The 18,677-nt window shown below is 40.9% G+C and overlaps 1 protein-coding gene across 11 annotated transcripts in view, besides 3 other annotated features; it reads right to left on the bottom strand.

The window, feature by feature from the left end:
* Positions 1–18,677, bottom strand: part of HPSE2 (heparanase 2 (inactive)) — an 858,875-nt gene that overhangs the window by 763,130 nt on the left and 77,068 nt on the right. For 7 of the 11 annotated variants that reach the window (NM_001166245.1, XM_011540030.2, NM_001166244.1 and 4 more), the window contains exons 1-2: positions 15,307–15,669; positions 12,142–12,299 (exon numbers count right to left, since the gene is read on the bottom strand). In NM_001166245.1, the coding sequence (NP_001159717.1) occupies positions 12,142–12,299; positions 15,307–15,596 (448 nt within the window). In that variant the 5' untranslated portion in view covers positions 15,597–15,669. Of the gene's footprint in view, positions 1–12,141; positions 12,300–13,475; positions 13,938–15,306; positions 15,670–18,677 lie in introns of those variants that run through there. The other 4 variants (NM_021828.5, XM_024448119.2, XM_047425614.1 and 1 more) reach the window with 4 other exon arrangements.
* Positions 13,956–14,075: a silencer, noted in NCBI's record as "silent region_2691". NCBI's record gives its function as "represses an Ori minimal core promoter by ATAC-STARR-seq in GM12878 lymphoblastoid cells {active_cell/tissue: GM12878}" and the evidence as "EXISTENCE:reporter gene assay evidence [ECO:0000049][PMID:35858748]".
* Positions 16,223–16,723: an enhancer, noted in NCBI's record as "H3K4me1 hESC enhancer chr10:100996186-100996686 (GRCh37/hg19 assembly coordinates)". NCBI's record gives its function as "activates a minimal SCP1, AML or CMV promoter by ChIP-STARR-seq in naive H9 embryonic stem cells {active_cell/tissue: H9 hESC(naive)}" and the evidence as "EXISTENCE:reporter gene assay evidence [ECO:0000049][PMID:30033119]".
* Positions 16,724–17,224: an enhancer, noted in NCBI's record as "H3K4me1 hESC enhancer chr10:100996687-100997187 (GRCh37/hg19 assembly coordinates)". NCBI's record gives its function as "activates a minimal SCP1, AML or CMV promoter by ChIP-STARR-seq in naive H9 embryonic stem cells {active_cell/tissue: H9 hESC(naive)}" and the evidence as "EXISTENCE:reporter gene assay evidence [ECO:0000049][PMID:30033119]".

Genomic DNA, 18,677 nt, shown 5'->3' on the forward strand with positions numbered 1-18,677 from the left:
TTACAGGGAAAGAATTAATTTAGATCAGAGAAATATGATACTATAGCACAAATAACAAACAGATAACTTCTTGTTTAAAAAAAAAAGTACCAATGAAAGAGAATAAACAGGTCCTCTGCATATATTCTTTACCCACTGAAAAACACACCATAATTACCAACTATAAGGTTATCTAGACAAGCAAGTTTTATAACAATGTGATTCTATCTATATACTTTAAAATGTATATACTTCTGTATGCATGGCAAATGATCTGAAAAGATACAGGTCAGACTGTTGAAAGTGGTTATACCTATGGAGTAGAACTGGGGATGGAGGCCAGGTGTGGTGGTTCACGCCTGTAATCCCAGCACTTTGGGAAGCCGAGGTGGGCGGATCATGAGCTCAAGAGATCGAGACCATCCTGGCCAACATGGTGAAACCCTGTCTCCACTAAAAATACAAAAATTATCTGGGCGTGGTGGCGCATGCCTGTAGTCCCACCTACTCCAGAGGCTGAGGCAGGAGAATCTCTTGAACCCGGGAGGTGGAGGTTGCAGTGAGCTGAGACTGCATCACTGCACCCCAACTCCAACCTGGCAACAGAGTGAGACTCCGTCTCAAAAAAAAAAAAAAAAGTGGGAATGGAACATGAAGGGAGGCTTTCACTTTTTTTTTTTTTTTTTTTTGACGGAGTTTCACTCTTGTTGCCCAGGCTGGAGTGCAACAGCTCACTACAACCTCCACCTCCGAGGTTCAAGCGATTCTCTCGCCTCAGCCTCCCAAGTAGCTGGGATTACAGGTGCCCGCCATCACGCCCAGCTAATTTTTGTATTTTTAGTAGAGACGGGGTTTCACCATGTTGGCCTGGCTGGTCTCAAACTCCTGACCTCAGGTGATCCGCCCGCCTCAGCCTCCCAAAGTGCTGGAATTACAGGCATGAGCCACCGCACTTGGCCGGCTTTCAGTTTTTATTTGATGTACATATTATTTAATGAGAGTATTCATGTGCATGCATTACATTGATAATAAAATGAATGAAAAGCATAAATCTGTAGAAGTATGAAGAAGTTAAGCAACAACTAGAAGTGGGAGAGAGGTTATTAGCATATTAGCTACCAAATAAGTGGGAAATAACCAGTCAACAAGTACTTACTGAAGAGCTACTACATAAAAGGCACTTTACTAGATTGTAGAAACTACAGAAATGTTACAATCACTACTCTCACAGTGCCCTATAATCTAGGAGTAGAGCCAAGTTTACATGAACATTCACAAAAAAATACCTGAGAACATAAAGCAGAATACGAAAATGGCCACAAGAGTGATTTTTAGACAATAAGTATTTTAGAAACTCAGGCTCAATAAGTGTTTCATAAATGAATTAATTAAACACTTTGAGCTAAGATAGCAAAGAATCATAGAAAAGGAGAAAAAACTTGAGCAGGGCTTTGAAAAGTAGGCAGAATTCAGAAATGGGTAGAATGTGGCAGAGGGATGATAAGGTGGAATATCCAGAGGGTTAGAAATGAAAAGAATGTCAGAGAGGGTAGAAGTAGAGTAACAAGCTATACCATCTGCTTGTAAATAAACTTAGGTTCCTACAGGGAGGCGGAGAGAAGAAGCTGGCCAAGGAGTGCAGACTGACCTTAGGGAGCCTTGGAAAGCTCAAAAACTTGAGCTAGCAGACAAGGGATGTCGGTGAAGGTTTCGAGCTAGGCAGTGACAGGAGGAAAGTGGAGCTTCAGAAAGGTTAATAAGACAACAAGATGGAGAGAGGCTGAAAACAGGAAACCCAGCTGAGACGTGCTACAGAACAGGTGTGAGGTGATGAGTGCCCAAACCAGATGAAAACAGTCACAAGGGAAACAACAATAATTATCATTTAGCCCTATTTACAAGCAAACTTTCAAATCAGACTCCAGCTAATATAAAGGCCTTTCCTCTAGGGGAAAGGCCTTTGAAGCTGACTTGGTAGAGGAATGAGAAACACTGTGCTGCTATGTTATAACAGGGGTAATGAAAATCACCAGCTTTGGAGAGAGACTGCCCTGGATTCAACCACAGCTCAGCCATTTACTAGTACAGTTACTTAACCCCTGAGACATTTTGCAGACTGTATAACCTCTTTGTTCCTTGATTTCTTCATTTTAAGTGTCTATAGCTGTGTTCCCTACTTGAATTTAACAAAATCTCAGTTCAAACAGAAAGATAAGGCAAAGAAGTATGAAGAAAAGGCTTTCTTGAAATCTCACCTTTATCAATTCCCTTTTCTCTTCACAGGACTTCACTAGGCTTAAAACTTGAAGGAAGAATAAGTCAGAGTATGGTTCAGTGTATAAATAAAAAGTAATTATAAAATTGCCCAGTAATTTTTTCAAATATTCTCAAAATTGTCCAATAATTTTTTCAAATATTCTTATTTCTCTTTTTTCCTGAAATTTCCCTTACATCAATAACACCATTGATCCATTTCTATTATTCCCTTCAATGCATCTGCTTCCAAAATATACCTCCTTCCTAGAGAAACTATAAGTCCTTTCCTACATTGGATCAGTTGTTGTTCTACTCCTTCAACATGTCCTAAAATGTGACAATCATTTCTTTCAACTGTTCATGTGTCTTCCTGCAGTTATCGTTCTCTGTTTTACCTAACAACTATTTTGTGTCACAACCCACAAGACCTTTGAATATGTTCATGGGACTATATTCATGGGAAGGCATATGGCACACATTTTTTTAATGCTCCACAATGCTTAGTTTAGGGGTTTCGGAGCCAGACAAATGAATGGACGAATAAATAGGACAATGCATGATTCAAAGATTGAATCCCTCTCTTACCTAAGCACAATACACGACTGGGATCTAATCCTGGTTCTACCAGCTATTTAATACTTCATAGCAGAGGCTCCATTTAAGCTTGAAGGTTTAATGATTGATATCACTGAGTCTCTGTGGCACAACTCATTAGCTGGGTAGTCTTGGGCAAATTACTTAACCTCTCTGTGCCTTGGTTTCCCCATCTGTCAAATGGGGTAAACAGTACTTTCCTCATAGGGTTGATGGAAGGATTAATGTATTAATGCATGTATACTGCTTAAAACAGTACCTGGCACATAATAAGCATTCAATAACATTAAGTATTATTATTATGGTTGTGTTATTACTATTATTGGGCTGCAGAGAAACATTCATTCTTCCATAGTATTTAAGAGATAATGTCCCAAATCTGGGCAGTTTACCTTTTCCCAGCTTTCTAACTTCGCATTCCAAACCAAGTGAAAATAAGGTACTGGTTTAACCCCTAATTCCTTCAACACAAACATATAGATACATGCATGCACCCATCTTTTCTAAATATACAGCATATACATTTCACTCTTCATTATCTGCTACACAAAAACCAAAACACATATATTTAGGTTTGTAAATAACATAAATACTTTGTTTGACTTAATGTGTCTGTTCCATGCAGTATGATGGTGGTTATATCTATATTGGTTTTTGTATGTGTAACAATAGCAGTGTATTTTTATTGTAAATTCCTAAGGACAAAAATGACTTGCTTAAGTCAGTCTGGGTACTTGGACTAAATTGGAGTGCATATTCAGAAAAGAATTTTAGAAAAATTAGAGAAAGAGGGAAATTAATGGGTACTGACTTAGCAGAAGGTTTAATGAAAGATGGAATTTGAGCAGAGCTTTCAAGAACAGGTAAAATTTTCAATTTCAGGGGAGAGGGAGATGTGTGTTCAACATGGAAAGTATAATATATGTAAGTGGAGAAGTAGAGGAACTAAGCAAAGATTGGTCTAACTAAAGAGAGGACACTGGAGACTACTACAAAATTTATGTTTAATATATAAGATCACAGCACTCTTGAGAGTACAGTTCATGTTTATTCCTCTTGGTTGCCCCAATATCTAGCACTAAGTCTGGCTTATATACAACTGATAATCAAAAAACATTTATTGAATTGAGCAAAATTACACTGTCTTTCACCATATCAAAGTGAAGAAAACTGAATGGAACTGAACTCAACTCAATTAGATCATGAAAGCCAATGGATAAAATAATTCAACAAACTTGTACAAGGTATGTAAACCTTGAACAGCACTAACCACTAGTCAAGAAATATGTCTTCACTTTGCCTAAATTACCACTGATAGACAAGTTCAGGGAATGAAACACAAAATTCTCTCATTCTCATATTCATTCTCACTCTCTTTCTCTCTGACACACACACACACACACACACACACACACACATAGCTCAGAGTTTCAATCTACTGTCTTACAGACTGAGATAGCTGAAAGCATGATTAAGGAACTAAGAAGTACCCAAATCAAGATTCTTAACATCTAATCCATTTTGATGAAGGATTCTCAGACAAGACTTCTGACTACAGGAGTCCAGATCACATGACCAGCAGACTAAGCAAAACCAGAAAACTTTTTGAAAGAAACTGCTTTTCTTCCATGAGGTCCCCATCCCATCAGTAGGGATTGCGAGACCAGGAGAGATAATTTAAATGAATTTGGCAGATGAAATAATAATTTGGTATTGGCAACAGTAGTACAGTTGCATTGTACAAAAAAAATTGATGAATTACCTTTTTCCCCAAGGTGGTAAATTATACAAATGTGGGTCAGCATTAAAAGGTTTATTTACTGGCTTTTCTGATTCGCTGAAATTAATTAAGCCACCTCCACAAGTAATGGACCAGTATTTCTTGGTCTCTACCACTTCTAGCAGTAGGCACGTGGCCACAATGACTACACTGTGACTAGACATGGTGACTAAATCTTTGTAAGATACAAATTCAGATTTACTGGGATATAGTGAACTGCAGCTCACACTCAGGGCCTGCGTACAAAATTTCAAAGGTATTACAGAAATGCATCCATTTTGATTTCAAAAGGCAGAATAAAATAAACATAAATAAAACTTCATAAATAAACATACATAAAATTTCAGGTGATTACTGACACTTTTTAATACAATATTAAATTATATCAAATCCTTCTAAAGTTATTGGCAGACAAATTGTGAAATGCCAAGGATGAAGTTAGAATGAGGTCTTTTCTTGGGCCTAAAATTCTCTACAAACTGCTTTTAGCTGCTGCTGCTGAAGTAACAAGAAGTCAATAGTAAGTAATTTGACAATCACACCTGGGCCCCATTAATCTTCCCAGCTTCAGTGTCAAACAGAGGCCTGAAACTAGATGCCTACTCAATGAGTAAATAAATGATTATAAAATACTAGCCTACATTTACTCTACAAAAGAAGGAAGAATAACATAAAATAACAAGCAAATTTTAAGACCTTTTACTTTATAAAACTTGCAATGTAAGGATCTAATTAATAATTCAATTTTAGGATCTGTCTTTTAAGCATGCTTTGTAACTCAAACCTTGACAAATGCAGTTATTATAACACAGTTTAGTTAGAGGGAGGGGATGAATGTGTCTAGTGATTTGGAAAGGGAAGATGGGAGAGAGCAAGTGTCATGGAAGGCCCCTGTTGAAATGTGTCCTTCCCTTCTCCAATGAAGTAAAATAAAATAGCCTCTTTTTTCCTCTATGGCCAATTCCATTTTACTATGCCTAAATTTCAAGATTCCCATAATCTGATCTGGATTTACCCAACCAACATTTTCTCTCACACATGTACTTTCTTTTTCTTCTTCTTCTTCAATTACATATTTTGAAGTTAAGAAAAATAGATTAGAATGTATTAAAACTCAATTTAAACATAATTCTAGCAATATGAACTTTGCTTGGGATAATTTCTAATGTACTTTATTTTATACATTTTTCTTTAATTATAAACATTTCTATTTAACAAAAATGTGTAAATAGGCTTCTATAAAAGAGATTTTGACATGGTTTTACCACATGAAGATAATTCTAACATACTTTCTATGTAGCCAGGGTGGTCTCCTTCCTGCCCAAATATATACGAGGATTTGCCTCATGCTCTCTCTCTTGAGTTGCATATCCTCTCTTCTTGTCTCTCTCTCTCTAAGGTCTACCTACCTATCTAACTCCCACCTAAGTCTCACCAGCATTCAACTCTACTTTTCTTGTTATACCCTGGCAAACTATTATATTCCACTTAGCACTTCATTCTAAATTGTCTTTCTGTTATTCTTCAGTTTTGTCAGTGTTAATGTTGTCTCACCAACTACACTATTGGTTCATTGACAGCAGATGCAGTATCTTTTGAAGAATACAAGTCAGGTATCTTGTAGAGTATCCTTCAGTTTGGGTTTGACTAATGTTTTCTCATGTTTACTGAGAGTTACAGATTTGGGGAAAGAATATTACATGGTGAAGTGCCCTTCTCATTATATCATATCAGAGAATAATACATGATATCAATATGACTTATCTGCTGATGTTAACCTTAGTCATTGATAAAATGATATCTGTCAATTTCTTCAGTGAAAAGTTACTATTTTCCCCTTTGGAGACTCTCTTCTTTAAATCCAAGTCACACTCAAGGGAAGAAGAATTAAGCTCCACCTCCCAGAGGTGGAGAATTTGTGGACATATATTAAAACCACCACAATAATTAGTTAATAAATATTATGAGGGAGATGCTTTAAGGCTATGCAAATATCCTCTTTTAAAGTTCCACCCGCTAAGTCCAACACTTGATTAAGGTATCTCGCCTAAAGCAATTATTACTGTTGTGTTCTAATGGTGATTTGGGATAGCATCTTTTATTTATTTTATATTCTGCCATTCTTTGTCTAGCATGAAACTAAACAGAGAGTAGATAATCAGTACATACTTATTAAATGTAACAGAATTTCAAAACCATTATGTGAAATAAAATGAGATAATAGAAAGTGGATAAGTTCAAGGCAAATATGTATTTTGGCAGTTGTGCTGTTCTTACACCATAAGTCTTGATTGATAGAATGGGATTAAAAAGAAAAAGAATTAATTACTTCATCTGTGGAAAAGCTTCCTAGAGAAAAGAGAATAATAATAGTTATACAGTGTCTTAGAGTTTACAAAGTATACACACATTCATCATTTAGAATTCAGAAGCTCTCTGAAGAGAAAAATCTTCAGGAGATAAAGATAAAAGATATTTGAAAGTTGTGAAAAGGCACTGTTACACCAGGAATTGAAAAATCAGGAATAGAAATTACATTAGACTAACAAAGAAAAGCAAAAGTAAAGGCAAGGTAGAAACAGATACAATTTTTTAAAATGTAGTTCTAGTGCAAGGCTTTAAACTGGGTAATAAAGTTAATTTAACACATAGCATAAAATAAAGACAACTTAGACAACCACAGATAAAGAGCACATGGTTAAAATCATGAAGAATGCCATTAAAAAATAAGCATCAAGAATGGACTGCATGGGAATATGTGTTGAAAGTGTAAAATGAATGGAATCTTCATGTATACCTTCAGTCATTTCTCCACTGGTCACCTCCATTTTCCCAGGGCCTTTCACAGTGCTTTTAACCTAGCATACACCCAAGAAAATTTGCTGAAGATCTACCATGTGTCATAAAGGCTAGACATTGTGGATATACAATAATTAGATACGGTGTCTTCCTATAAAGAATTTGCATTCTAGATGGAAAGGTAAAATATATATATATATGTATATATATAAAGTTGAATGTCTATATATATATATAAAGTTGAATGTGTATATATGTGTGTGTGTGTGTGTGTGTGTGTATATACATATATATATATATACATAAAATTAAATGGCAAAACAAGGCAGAAGGAGCCAAAAGAAAAGCATAAAGAGTAAAAGCTACAGCAGTCTAAAGAAAGAAGAGATCACTGTGGAATGACCTGTTCAAGAACAGTTTTGTGCAAATAAGGAACATTTGCAATGGGCCTTCAAAAACTAGGTGAGATGGAATAAGCTCTGACTTAAGCCAAGAGAAATACATTCAATGCATATTCATATAGTAACTGAACAAAGGTACGGGGTTGAGATAATAAAGGTGCTTTAAGAAGACAGTGAACAATCAAGTAAGTTGGGCTGTAATAAAAGGTATATGGAAACACAGGGTAGTGAAAGTAAGCTGAGACTGAAATGTGAAAGGTTTTGAATGTCAGGTTGAGGAGTTTGAACATATTATGTAAGCAATCCAAAAATAACCATAGTTTTTTAGCAAAAGAGCAACATGATGAATATGACATTTTAGAAATATTAAGCTGGCTTTTGATGTACATTTAAAAAATGGTGTACATCTTCATTAAAGATGCAGTTATGGTCTTAAAAAAACATGCATACAAATAAATCACATTGAATACAATACAAAGAGGGGAAGACTGGAAAAAAATAAACTTAAGAACAGAAGAATAACCCAAGATTTCCTTGTTGAGAGCAGGTAAAGCATAACATTACATAGAACAAAAAGGAAGTTAGGCAACAGTAAGATTCCTTGGGTATAAAGAACAACTCTATTTTTACTTCTTCCATCATCACTATTTGTGTATATAATTCAAGGTGCCTAAGCATAGAGTAGAATAGTTAACTGCATTAAAGGAGTAACCAGTGAAGCTCCCAAAGTGATACATAAACAGTGGTTTTACAAAGTTAGAGAAAATACAGTTGCATTAATGTGCTCAGAAAGTATCTGGAAAACAGAAGACACATGAGTTGTTAATTGCATTATTAATTCATGGGAAAACAAGGGGAACAACAAAATCACATCGGGGCCAGGCACAGTGGCTCATGTCTGTAATCCCAGCACTTTGGGGAGGCTGAACTGGGCAGATCAGTTGAGGTCAGGAGTTCAAGACCAGCCTGGCCAACATGGTGAAATCCCATCTCTACTAAAAATACAAAAATTAGCGAGGCATGGTGACGCACACCTGTAATCCCAGCTACTGAAGAGGCTGAGGCACGAAAATCACTCTACCTGGGAGGTAGAGATTGCAGTAAATCAAGATAATGCCACTGCCCTCTAGCCTGGGCAAAAGAGGAGACTCCATATCGAAAAAAAAAAAAAAACTTATCAGGGTAGCAATATAAACGGATTAACCAGAAAAGTGGAAGCTTTTTGCTCAATGCTACAACTATCCATTCATTTTAACATTAGTACATAACAAAAGCCACCTTTGGTTCTCAACTCTGTTCCTTAAAGATAATTCTCCTTACATTCTCTCAATCCTCTCAGGTAATTCCATAAATCTACCTTCTGCCTTCTGTAAAAGCTTCAGTCTCATTAAATCTTACTCACTCCTTAATCCCACTTTAAAACATTAAATATATATTAGAAATTTGCTGAAGTTGCCTTTAATGAATGTAAGAATCCTTACCTTTCTTATAGTGTTGTGCAGTCAAAAAAATAACTTACAAACATTACCTCTTAGAACCTTCAGAGAAGCAAGGTACAGCAGGTAATCATCATCATCCACATGCTATAAACAGTAAGCCCTGGGCCACACATTCATAAGTCATAGGGCCAGGCATGCAGTGCAACCTTCCTAAGTCCAAATTCCATTTTCTCTTCACTGTATCATTCAGTTTCATAATGTGCCAGTAGGTATATCTTATTACTCAAAATGTATGTTGTTATTCTGTACTACGTCTAAGTAAATACATTTTTTAATAAGATGCCTTTATGCCCAAGTGCTTACTACAGGACCATTTCCTAAGAAGGCTTAATTACTTTAAGATGCTCATGATGATAACAGTTATCACTAGATGAAAAGGGACAACAGAAGCATAATGTTTTCAAAATTGCTGAGACTATACCAAGAACATTTTGCCTTGAATTCTGCAATGCAACATGCAACAACAAAGACAGTATGGGTAATTTAAGGATATGTGAGCTTCAAAGGGCAGAAATAGGACATTCTCATTCTCTTTAACTCTGCTAAAGCCTCAAATACTGATATAGTTCAGAGCATCTTATTACTAGGAAAACATAAATCAAAAGGAGTTCGGCTAGGAGCAATAAAACAGATTAGTGTCTGGAAGGACTGACTTTAAAGAAAGTTTTAAAAGAATTAGATCCAGGTAGTCTAGATAAAAAACAGCTATGAGGAAACATTTTTTTTTAAGCTAACACTCACACCAAAGGCAGAAATTATTTTGAAGATAGATGTCTAAAAAATGCAAACAGGAATAATTGTAAATCCTTATAAAGGGAAAATTCAGGAGAAATTTCCCAGCAAAAGCTTATGGGACAGAAGAACTCTCTCCCCTATGAGTGGTGAAAAACTACATTCCTAGAGATATTTAATGCCAGGTTGGACAAAACAAGAAAAGGATTCCATATGGAATGATCCTATACTGGCCCCTAACGTGATAGAGGACTGAAGGTAACCTCTTAGATCTTTTCCGTTTATGTTTTTTTTTTAATTTTATATAGTTTTACAGGGCACTGCCTTCTGCCAATTTCTTTTCTCCCCATGATGCCCACTTTCTCCTTTCACAAAGGGAAACAAATTGTAGCCTTCATTTTAAACAGATCTCATTGTTCTCAGTGTAACATAATCCTAGGTACAAAGTTGGGAGAAACAGACCAATTTCTAAACTTATAATGGTCCTTTCCTCCCTCCCTCACCCCCAGCAATTCCTGGGGCTCTTACAAGTTTTCCCACAAACTAAAGAGGAAGTAGTTCAAATGGATTGGAAGAAGAAAAACCATTAATATCAGAAAAACCATTAATATTCTCCCTTCTTATGTCTGATCACAGAGCTGACAGTGACCCTGGGAGCTATAAGGTTCTGGGTCAAATTACCATAGGAGGTGCTGTTAAAGACTATCTTTTACCTTTCAGCATTTATGCTGAGTGACAGCAAAAGTCTACTTGCAATCCATACTTTCATAGCAATGACTTTTATCTTTGAAAAGATATAGCCTTAAACACCTACATGCTTTGGCAAATGTTATAAAAGAGTAAGTCCTAGTCATGCTCCAAACTCAAGAAGCCTTAGCCTTGCCCTCTTTCTCTATTCTGGCACTTAAAAAAAAATGTTCCTCTGCCACCCTTGAAATACATTCCAATACCTCTCCAGAAGTACTTTTCAATGAAGGCCCAAGAAAATACAAGGGCATTTGCTCCTTTAGCTGATTTGTAAGGACAAGATATAACAAAATTCAGAAGGCTCTGAAAATCTGTCCCTGAGCCCTTTACATATAAAACTAGTTTACTTATAAGAAGGAACAGCAACGGGGATGATAGCCCTCCAAGAATGGACACTAATGCCTCTTCTATCCAATCTTAACAGTGTCAATAGCTCAAGAAACGCCAATACCCTCCATCGTGCCTCTTTGAAAGTACATCCCTCCACTTAAACAGGAAGTTCATAGATGTTAACACCTAACCTTCTAAACAAAAAATTTTCAATAGCATTTTCATTTTTTATCCCTAGTAAAAATGAGACCGTTCAAACCAAAAAAGATTGGCCTCTCAGATTGAAATAAGATTTCAAGTTTTCAAAGCCCTTCCAACACTTATCTAATCCCGTCAGGAAAGAAAGCTGGCATTTGTAATCCCATTTTAAAACAGAAAAAAAAAAATGCAACTCTGAGATTAGGCAATCTGAAGAAGAACTAACTGTGGAGATTTCCAAACCTTCCTCAACAAGGGACCAATTTAAAAGGGATTATTCCAGAAAACTTTAGAGTGGGTTTCAAAAACGGCTGAATTCCTTCTGTACCCTAATCACAGGAAGGCAAGAAATAAGAAAAACAGAAAGGCACTTTGCCTAGAATTTTAGCAATGAAATATGACTCTGACCTTTAATAATCTATGAACCTGGCTGAATTTTCTCAAAAAACCTGCTGCATCTACACCCCGCAGGAACAGCCTGTTAAGCAGTTTGGGCTACCAGCTCTCAGCCTCCAAGACAGCCGCCCAGCAAAAGGCCGGCAGCTGGGTGAGAACAACCTGGAGAACCCCCTTTGCGCAATGAGGTCAGGAGTTCCACACTGCAGTGTCTCCTCATCTGAAGCTTCCAACTTTTCATTTTCAGGCGAGGTGCAACCAGGCTCTCCAAATCTGCCCCAACGCGCGCGCGCGCATACACACACACACACACACACACACACACACACACACACACACGAACACACAGACACACGAACACACAGATACACAAACACAGCGGGTGCTTGCTTCCGCTCCCCAAATAAAGAATGGTAATCAAGTTTCTCACCATCCTCATAGTTTTTGAGATAGTAATCCGGGCCCGGGCCCCCGCGGCTTTTCGCCGGGTTCCTCAGGTTCTGGAACTGCAGGAAGTCGGTCCTTTTGCCCCCGAAGCGCAGAAAGGCGGGCGAAAGTCCCCGGGCCAGGGTCACCAAGCGCTTGGAGCTGCAGAGGAAGAGAATAAGAGAGGAAAGGTTCCCAGGACAGGACGAGAGCGCGTGGGGCACGGAGAAGGGCCCTCTTCCTACTCCCTGAGGGCGACCTGGCCGGGGCTAGAGGCTCTGTGCCTGCCCCAGCCGGCAGTCCACGCTGGCCCTTGGCCGCTGCCCTGCGCCCCAGCCCGCCCTCACCGCCCGGCTCTGGGGGCTGTGCCTCCCGCTTCCAGACGCCCGCAGCGGCCCCCTCCCGCAGACACCCAGATCCTGATCTCCTAAAGGCTACAGATAGTGTTTGTTCATAGAGTGTTTGTATGGGGTGGGTGTACGTGCTACGAGCACGGCGCTAAAGCGCAGTTGCCCGGCTTCTGCCACTGCCAGGAAAGCGCTCCGGGCGGAGACGCGCTAGGCGCGCCTACCTCTGGCTTCCGACCGTTGCCAAAAACTTGTATGCTGAAAGCCGGCATTGCCTCCGCAGCCCCAGGGGCCCCACAAACCTCCGTGCAGGAGGTGAAACCTGCCTTGTTTCTCTCAGACCAGGCCCGGCGCCTGAGCTTAAGTGGATTCCTACTTTCTTTCTTTTAATGTCCGAGTTGATTTTCCTTTTTCACTATATTGTAAAAACTGCATTGTTTCCCAAATCCCCGGACGGAGAGATCCCCAGGGTAAACCCTCGCCTTTCCAAGAACACTTCTCCACTCCCGCACCACCACCACCACCACCACACACACACACAGTAAAGGCAAAGTCTCTTTGGCCCCTGAAATAATTCCGCCTGATCTCAGGAAAGGTAACATCCTCCTCCCCACCCCACCCCCGAGTTAGGCTCCATCTTTCTTCTTTCCCACTTGGGGCCGTTTGGAACCGCTAGGGAAAATGAAGCTTGCCGAAATGTGGAACCTGCGCGTTATGGGATACTAAATGAGCACAAAACAATAGCATTTGCATCTATTTAAGGTCAGGATTTCCATCAATAGGTTTTTTAAAAGCCAAAGGCTGCTGCTTTGGGAAGGAGTAGAAAAGGAGCAATGCAGATACTGATAATGCAGAGGGGATCAGCTGTTGAGTTCCGGGTCTGTAAATTATTTTTTAACGCTTTACTGTTTCAGATTCTGAAAACCCAAATCCACATGGTGACGTTAAAGAGCATCATAAAGGAGGTGGATACGAGAAAGAAAAAACAGACTCTGCTTTTGGAGAGTTTTTTGAGAAGAGACGTGGCTACCCCAGGGTCTTGTAACCAGAATGGTCGTTTGGCAGAAGTCTCCGGGACCGCACTCCAGGACAGGCACAGTCAGGGCGTCGCGTGGGCCTACTGTGGCAAAGGAGACGTCCGCGCGAATCCGGTCCTGGGGAAAGGGCAGTTCCAACAACCTTTCATCCAGAAGCCTGCACAGCCAATGCGAATGCGCCCCGCCAGGACTTCTTCCCCGAAAATCTGCCTTCCAGACTCTTTTCTGAGGCAGGAAAGCATTAGGCGAACAGGCAGATTTTTTAAAAAAAGAAAGAAAGCTGGTGGGGGAAAGGGGGTCTGCGCAGCTGAAGGAGTTCAATGAAAGTGGGACAAGCGTTGCGGAAAACTCCGTTGCACCCTACATTCGGACGAGCTCATAGACGCGCTCTGCTGCACGAAAGAGCTTTCGAAGAGGAAGCTGGGCCGCGCGGAGCTGGCTGTTCCGCCCTCGCGGCAACCGCACCAACAGGAACCGAAACGGCCTCGGCAAGGGCAGCTACAGCCTCTCAGTCCTCCGGCTACCTTTCCTCCACGTGGAAGGAGCGCTCCACGTGGCGCCTCCCGCTACCTGCCGCGTCCGCAGACCCGACCCGGGCCAGGGGGACAACCCCAAGAGCTGAGAGGCGGGCGCACCTCAAGAAGCAAAACTCGAATTTCGCAAGGAGTGAAAAATACGAAGGACGCACAACGGACCTGGCCTCGGGGCAAAGTGGGACTGAGAGCGCTGAGGGCTCTTCGAGGGGAACCCACAGCTGAGGCTCCAACTTGTAGGGAATTTTTAAAAACTCAACACTTGGATTCGACATTGCAGAGGATTTATTTCTTATTTTACACTGCAACTCTGTCCCTGATGGGAAGGGATCGCAGTTGCCTAACTGCCAAACTGCAACAACCCGGGAAGAGTGTGAGCCCAATTAGATTACAAGCCCTAGAGCAAAGGGGATCACAAACCTCCGGGTTTGCTAATCTGCTGGTGCGGAGTTCAGATCTCCGAAGCCTCCCTGGAGTATTTCTAGGACTCTTACCGCTTCCCTTATAACGCTGTGACCCCAGCGAGGATTTTTTTTTTCCTTTAAAGAAAAGCTAAACTGTGCAGTTACCGCAGGAGATTTAAGGAGGAGGAACTGGCGGGGGGAGGGGGGCATTCCGTCTATAAAAAGCGCCTTACAAAGTCCTGAAGTCTGGAAATGACAGCGGAGGATATAAAATAAAAAATTTTAACTCCGATCCAACTTGCCCACCACTCAAGCCTCTGCTTAAATTCGTTTTCTGAGAGTGGGAGAGAACTGACGAAACGATCTTTCCGTGGAAAATTCCAGTTTCGTGCAATCCCGCTTGAACACTCACACACACACACTCTCCTGTCTCACATACACACACACACACACACACACACACATACCCATTCCTTTCAGCTCTTTGTTGTTTGAGACCTTTTCTTCGCTTTTGTAACTGCTCTGAACCTCTTGTTTCTTTTTCAGAAGTAGACGGGAAGGCTAATTGTGGATATATGTAAGCACAACATTTTTTCAGTCATAACTGATAAGTTTCTGAAATGCCTTCTGCATTGCAAACATGTGCATCTTAATAGAAAACATTGCTTTTCTCAATCACTAGTTACAGCCTCACAGCACACAATCCAGGAGAAGGAAAACCTCTTTTCTTCTCTTTGAGAGATCTGCTTGGCTTATTTTCTTCTTTCCCCTTTGGAATGGGGGATAGGAAGGGCTTGAGGGGGTGTTACTAAAAAATTTTAAATGATCCATCGAAACCCCTGCCTTACCTTAGGAAATCGAGCCAGCCATCATGAATGATGGACGGATCCAGCTGCAGAGAGAGGAAGTTCTCATTGACTGTCCTGACTGGGTTCTTGGTGCTCACATCAAGTAGAATCAGGGTCTTTTCCTTCAAACCTGCAGCTCTGTCTACAGGCAAGGGTCTCCTGTCTCCAGCCTGGGAGGAAAGGGAGAGATGGAGCAACAGAGCCAAGTAGAGAGCCCCCGGGGCTAGGCACGCGGGGGGGCGGGAGTTGCTGGAGGGCATGGCTTCAGGGAAGGCACAAAGCACCCTCATTCAATCCCTCTGATTTAAACCTCTCTTCCTACTGGGTCTCGCTAGTGACTAATTGTCCTTATCTAAAGTGTGTGTCTGTCCGCCTTTTTCCCCCCTTTTTTTCCCTTCCTCCCACCACCCCCCCAACACACACACACTCTCTCTCTCTCCCGCTCTCTCTCTCTCTCGCTCGCTCGCTCGCTCGTTTTGTTTTTTTCTTTTTTTTTTTTAATTTTTTTTAATTTTTTTTTTCAGTGTTTTGGTGCTGGTGGAGCGAACTCACGCCCCTAGCCAGCCTTCCCCGTGACTCTTGCCAAGAGAACTCGTACACCGGCACCGCCCCTTTAAGAGATTTCTACTGCAGACATTTTTTAACTTTTTAAAGGTAAGGGGAGGGGAGCAGGCGGGAAGGAGGAGAAAAGGGTGGCGTTGTACCCTCCTAATTTAACCCTCTAGGGTCAGGAAGCAGAGGGAGGAATCCAAACCATGCCGTTGTACCGTCTGGGTACAGAGCAAAGGGTCTCGTTTTTACGTCCTTCCCTGAGAGGCTCTGGAGGGCGGTTCAAGCTCCGACTCCGACCCGAAAGCCCCAGCGCCAACCCGGGACGCGCTGGGATAGAGTTCCCACCGACAGCACGCTTGTTTCTCCTGACAGCGTCAGGCACTTCGTCCGCTCAGGGCCCTTTTCTGGTTGAAGCAGCAATACCAAGGGCGGTTAAGTTGCAGAGGGGTCTTGAGGCGGTGATTCCTGTCAAAGCATAGAGCCCTGAAGGACATTCCCCGAAGAGGAGCCCTGATCTCTGTGACGCGTTGGATAGCCACACCGAAGCATCCTCTGACCTCCATAGGGCAAAGAGTAGCAAGAAGGAAAAACATAGTGACCTGGTCAAGCAGCTTTTCCGATCCGAGGGCCAAAAGGGACATGCGCCCTCGCTCTGCTCTGCTCTTCCCGCAACCGAGGAATAAGCGTCTTGGGAGCGTCAATACATGCTGGCTTTGGCCAAGTCGAAGCTACCTGAGCTGTGCTTGGATAGTCAGGGCGGCTCTGCGTCCAACTGTGCCACTTCTTGGCCACTCTATTCTGCTGCACAGGTAGAGTCCCCCCTCCAGACCCTCCTGGAGGTCAATCCTATACTTAGCCCTCCTGCAGGGAAGTGCGCCTTTACAGTGCCAGATGGGACCATAGTGACACTTTCGGGTTTCCATCTCGGCCCCCAGTCAAAACCAGAGTCACATAGCCCTGGATGGGGAATAACAGCCGGAAGCCGCTGTGATGCACGACCCGCCGCTGCTCATTGAGCTTCCACCCCACAACAGCTTGCAAATTGAACTCTAGGTCCTATCCTGAAGCGCGGGAAAGGGATCAGGCACAGTTTGCTGCAGTCACATTGCTGGGCCCCACTTTCGGCTTCTTTCTGAGACAAAATGGGACTTCTACTTGGCAGATGAAGGGAACTACTTTATGTAGTGCGGGCAGTCAGAAACGCAGAAGCGTCCAGGGCCCTCCTTGGTATCAAACAAGCAAAACCCTAAAATGCAGAGCAAGGGTTTTCCCCAGAAGTGGATGGACAAGGGTTAGTCTTAAAGCCCAGCAAACGCTGTAATAGCAACCTGTATCCTCTTACCTCCACCCAGACCAGGATTAACAAATCTGAAAACAGCTGGAATAGATGACCTTCAACTGAAGTTCCCTGAAAAGCCTCTACCAACCTAAGCACCCAGGAAATCGAGATTATGTTGCATTCATCTGTGAAGCGCCATGACGACCTTCTAGAAATAGGACTGCATAAGATGAGGATATGGGAGAAAGCAAATGCAAGTCATATTATTTAAAGATGATTTTTTTAAATCAAGCTGTTACATAGTGAAGTATTGGATGTTGGCTCCAGCCCTAAGGCCTGTTTCCTTCAGTTCCTGAACATTTCTAAGACATCTAGATCCTTTAAACTGTGTGTGTGTGTCTGTGTATGGGTGTGTGGTGTGACATAAATTTCAGTCGAAATTCTTGTAATTTTTAAGTATGTATTGAGCACCTCTTAGAGATGGCAACAGCCTGGCGGGCAAACACTTTTGCCTTTGTGTTCCCAGACTGGAGCACTTAGTAGGCACTCAATAAATTCTGTGAAGTAAATTAATGGTAAATCCAATCATGCTCAACACACTGAAATAATATGCCCCTCTCCAGAACAATGTGAAAAATAAATACTTTTATTTGTCATAGTAAATTATGTTTTGGGTCTCTGTTCAATAATTTGTTTTCCCAGTTATTAACATTTTCCTGGCCATCTCCTTCAAAAAATACTTAACGTGTAAAGCCATTAGTTCATTTGCTATACTAAGAATTTTTAAAATTATATATTTTTAACAATGAGCCAGATTTTCCAAGGGCCTAAAATACCCTTGGCTTACAAGTGAATGCACTTTTAGAAGCCATGTTAATTGGGACCAATGGAAGACAATTTGAATACGTATATCCACTAGATGTCTATAATTAATACCTTTCAAAAATACCTATTCTTGTGACCAAGAATGAACTTGAGTATAATGAGAATGCACATAATTATGAATTTTCACCATTTTTGCTTACTGACCTAACTACTCTATAATGGTTTATTGGCCTAACTAAGTAGTATTTAATGTTTTCATCAGAATCTGTATGTGGTATTAAAATCAAAACCAACAAAACAAAGTGCTTGTTTTCTTAATTCCTGATGAAAACCATTTCTCTAGTCTAGCCATTGAAATTCTAAGTCATTCTATAGAGGACATCAGGGGAAAGAAATAACTGATATTTAAGAGGTTAGCCCTCGTTGGTCTCTAAGATGATTTGATTGTTTGGTGCTTTGGTTTAGTTTGGGTTTAGATCTCCAGAGATACTCTGCAAATAGCTGCCACACATATACCATATCATGGTTTTTGTCTTGCCTCTTATCTATTAATATGCTGTAAGTAGTTCATTAGTAATCAGTATATTAGATTGATGTTTCTATCCTATCTTCTGTGTGCTAGGTGACAGCAATCTGCATCTCTGTTTTGTCTTAGATTGTAACTTCCTAGAAGACAAGTATTGGGCCTCTGTATAAAATATGAACTGTCAGGCCA

This window comes from Homo sapiens, chromosome 10 (assembly GCF_000001405.40).
Source record: "Homo sapiens chromosome 10, GRCh38.p14 Primary Assembly".
In the NCBI taxonomy this organism is placed as follows: Eukaryota; Metazoa; Chordata; class Mammalia; order Primates; family Hominidae; genus Homo; species Homo sapiens.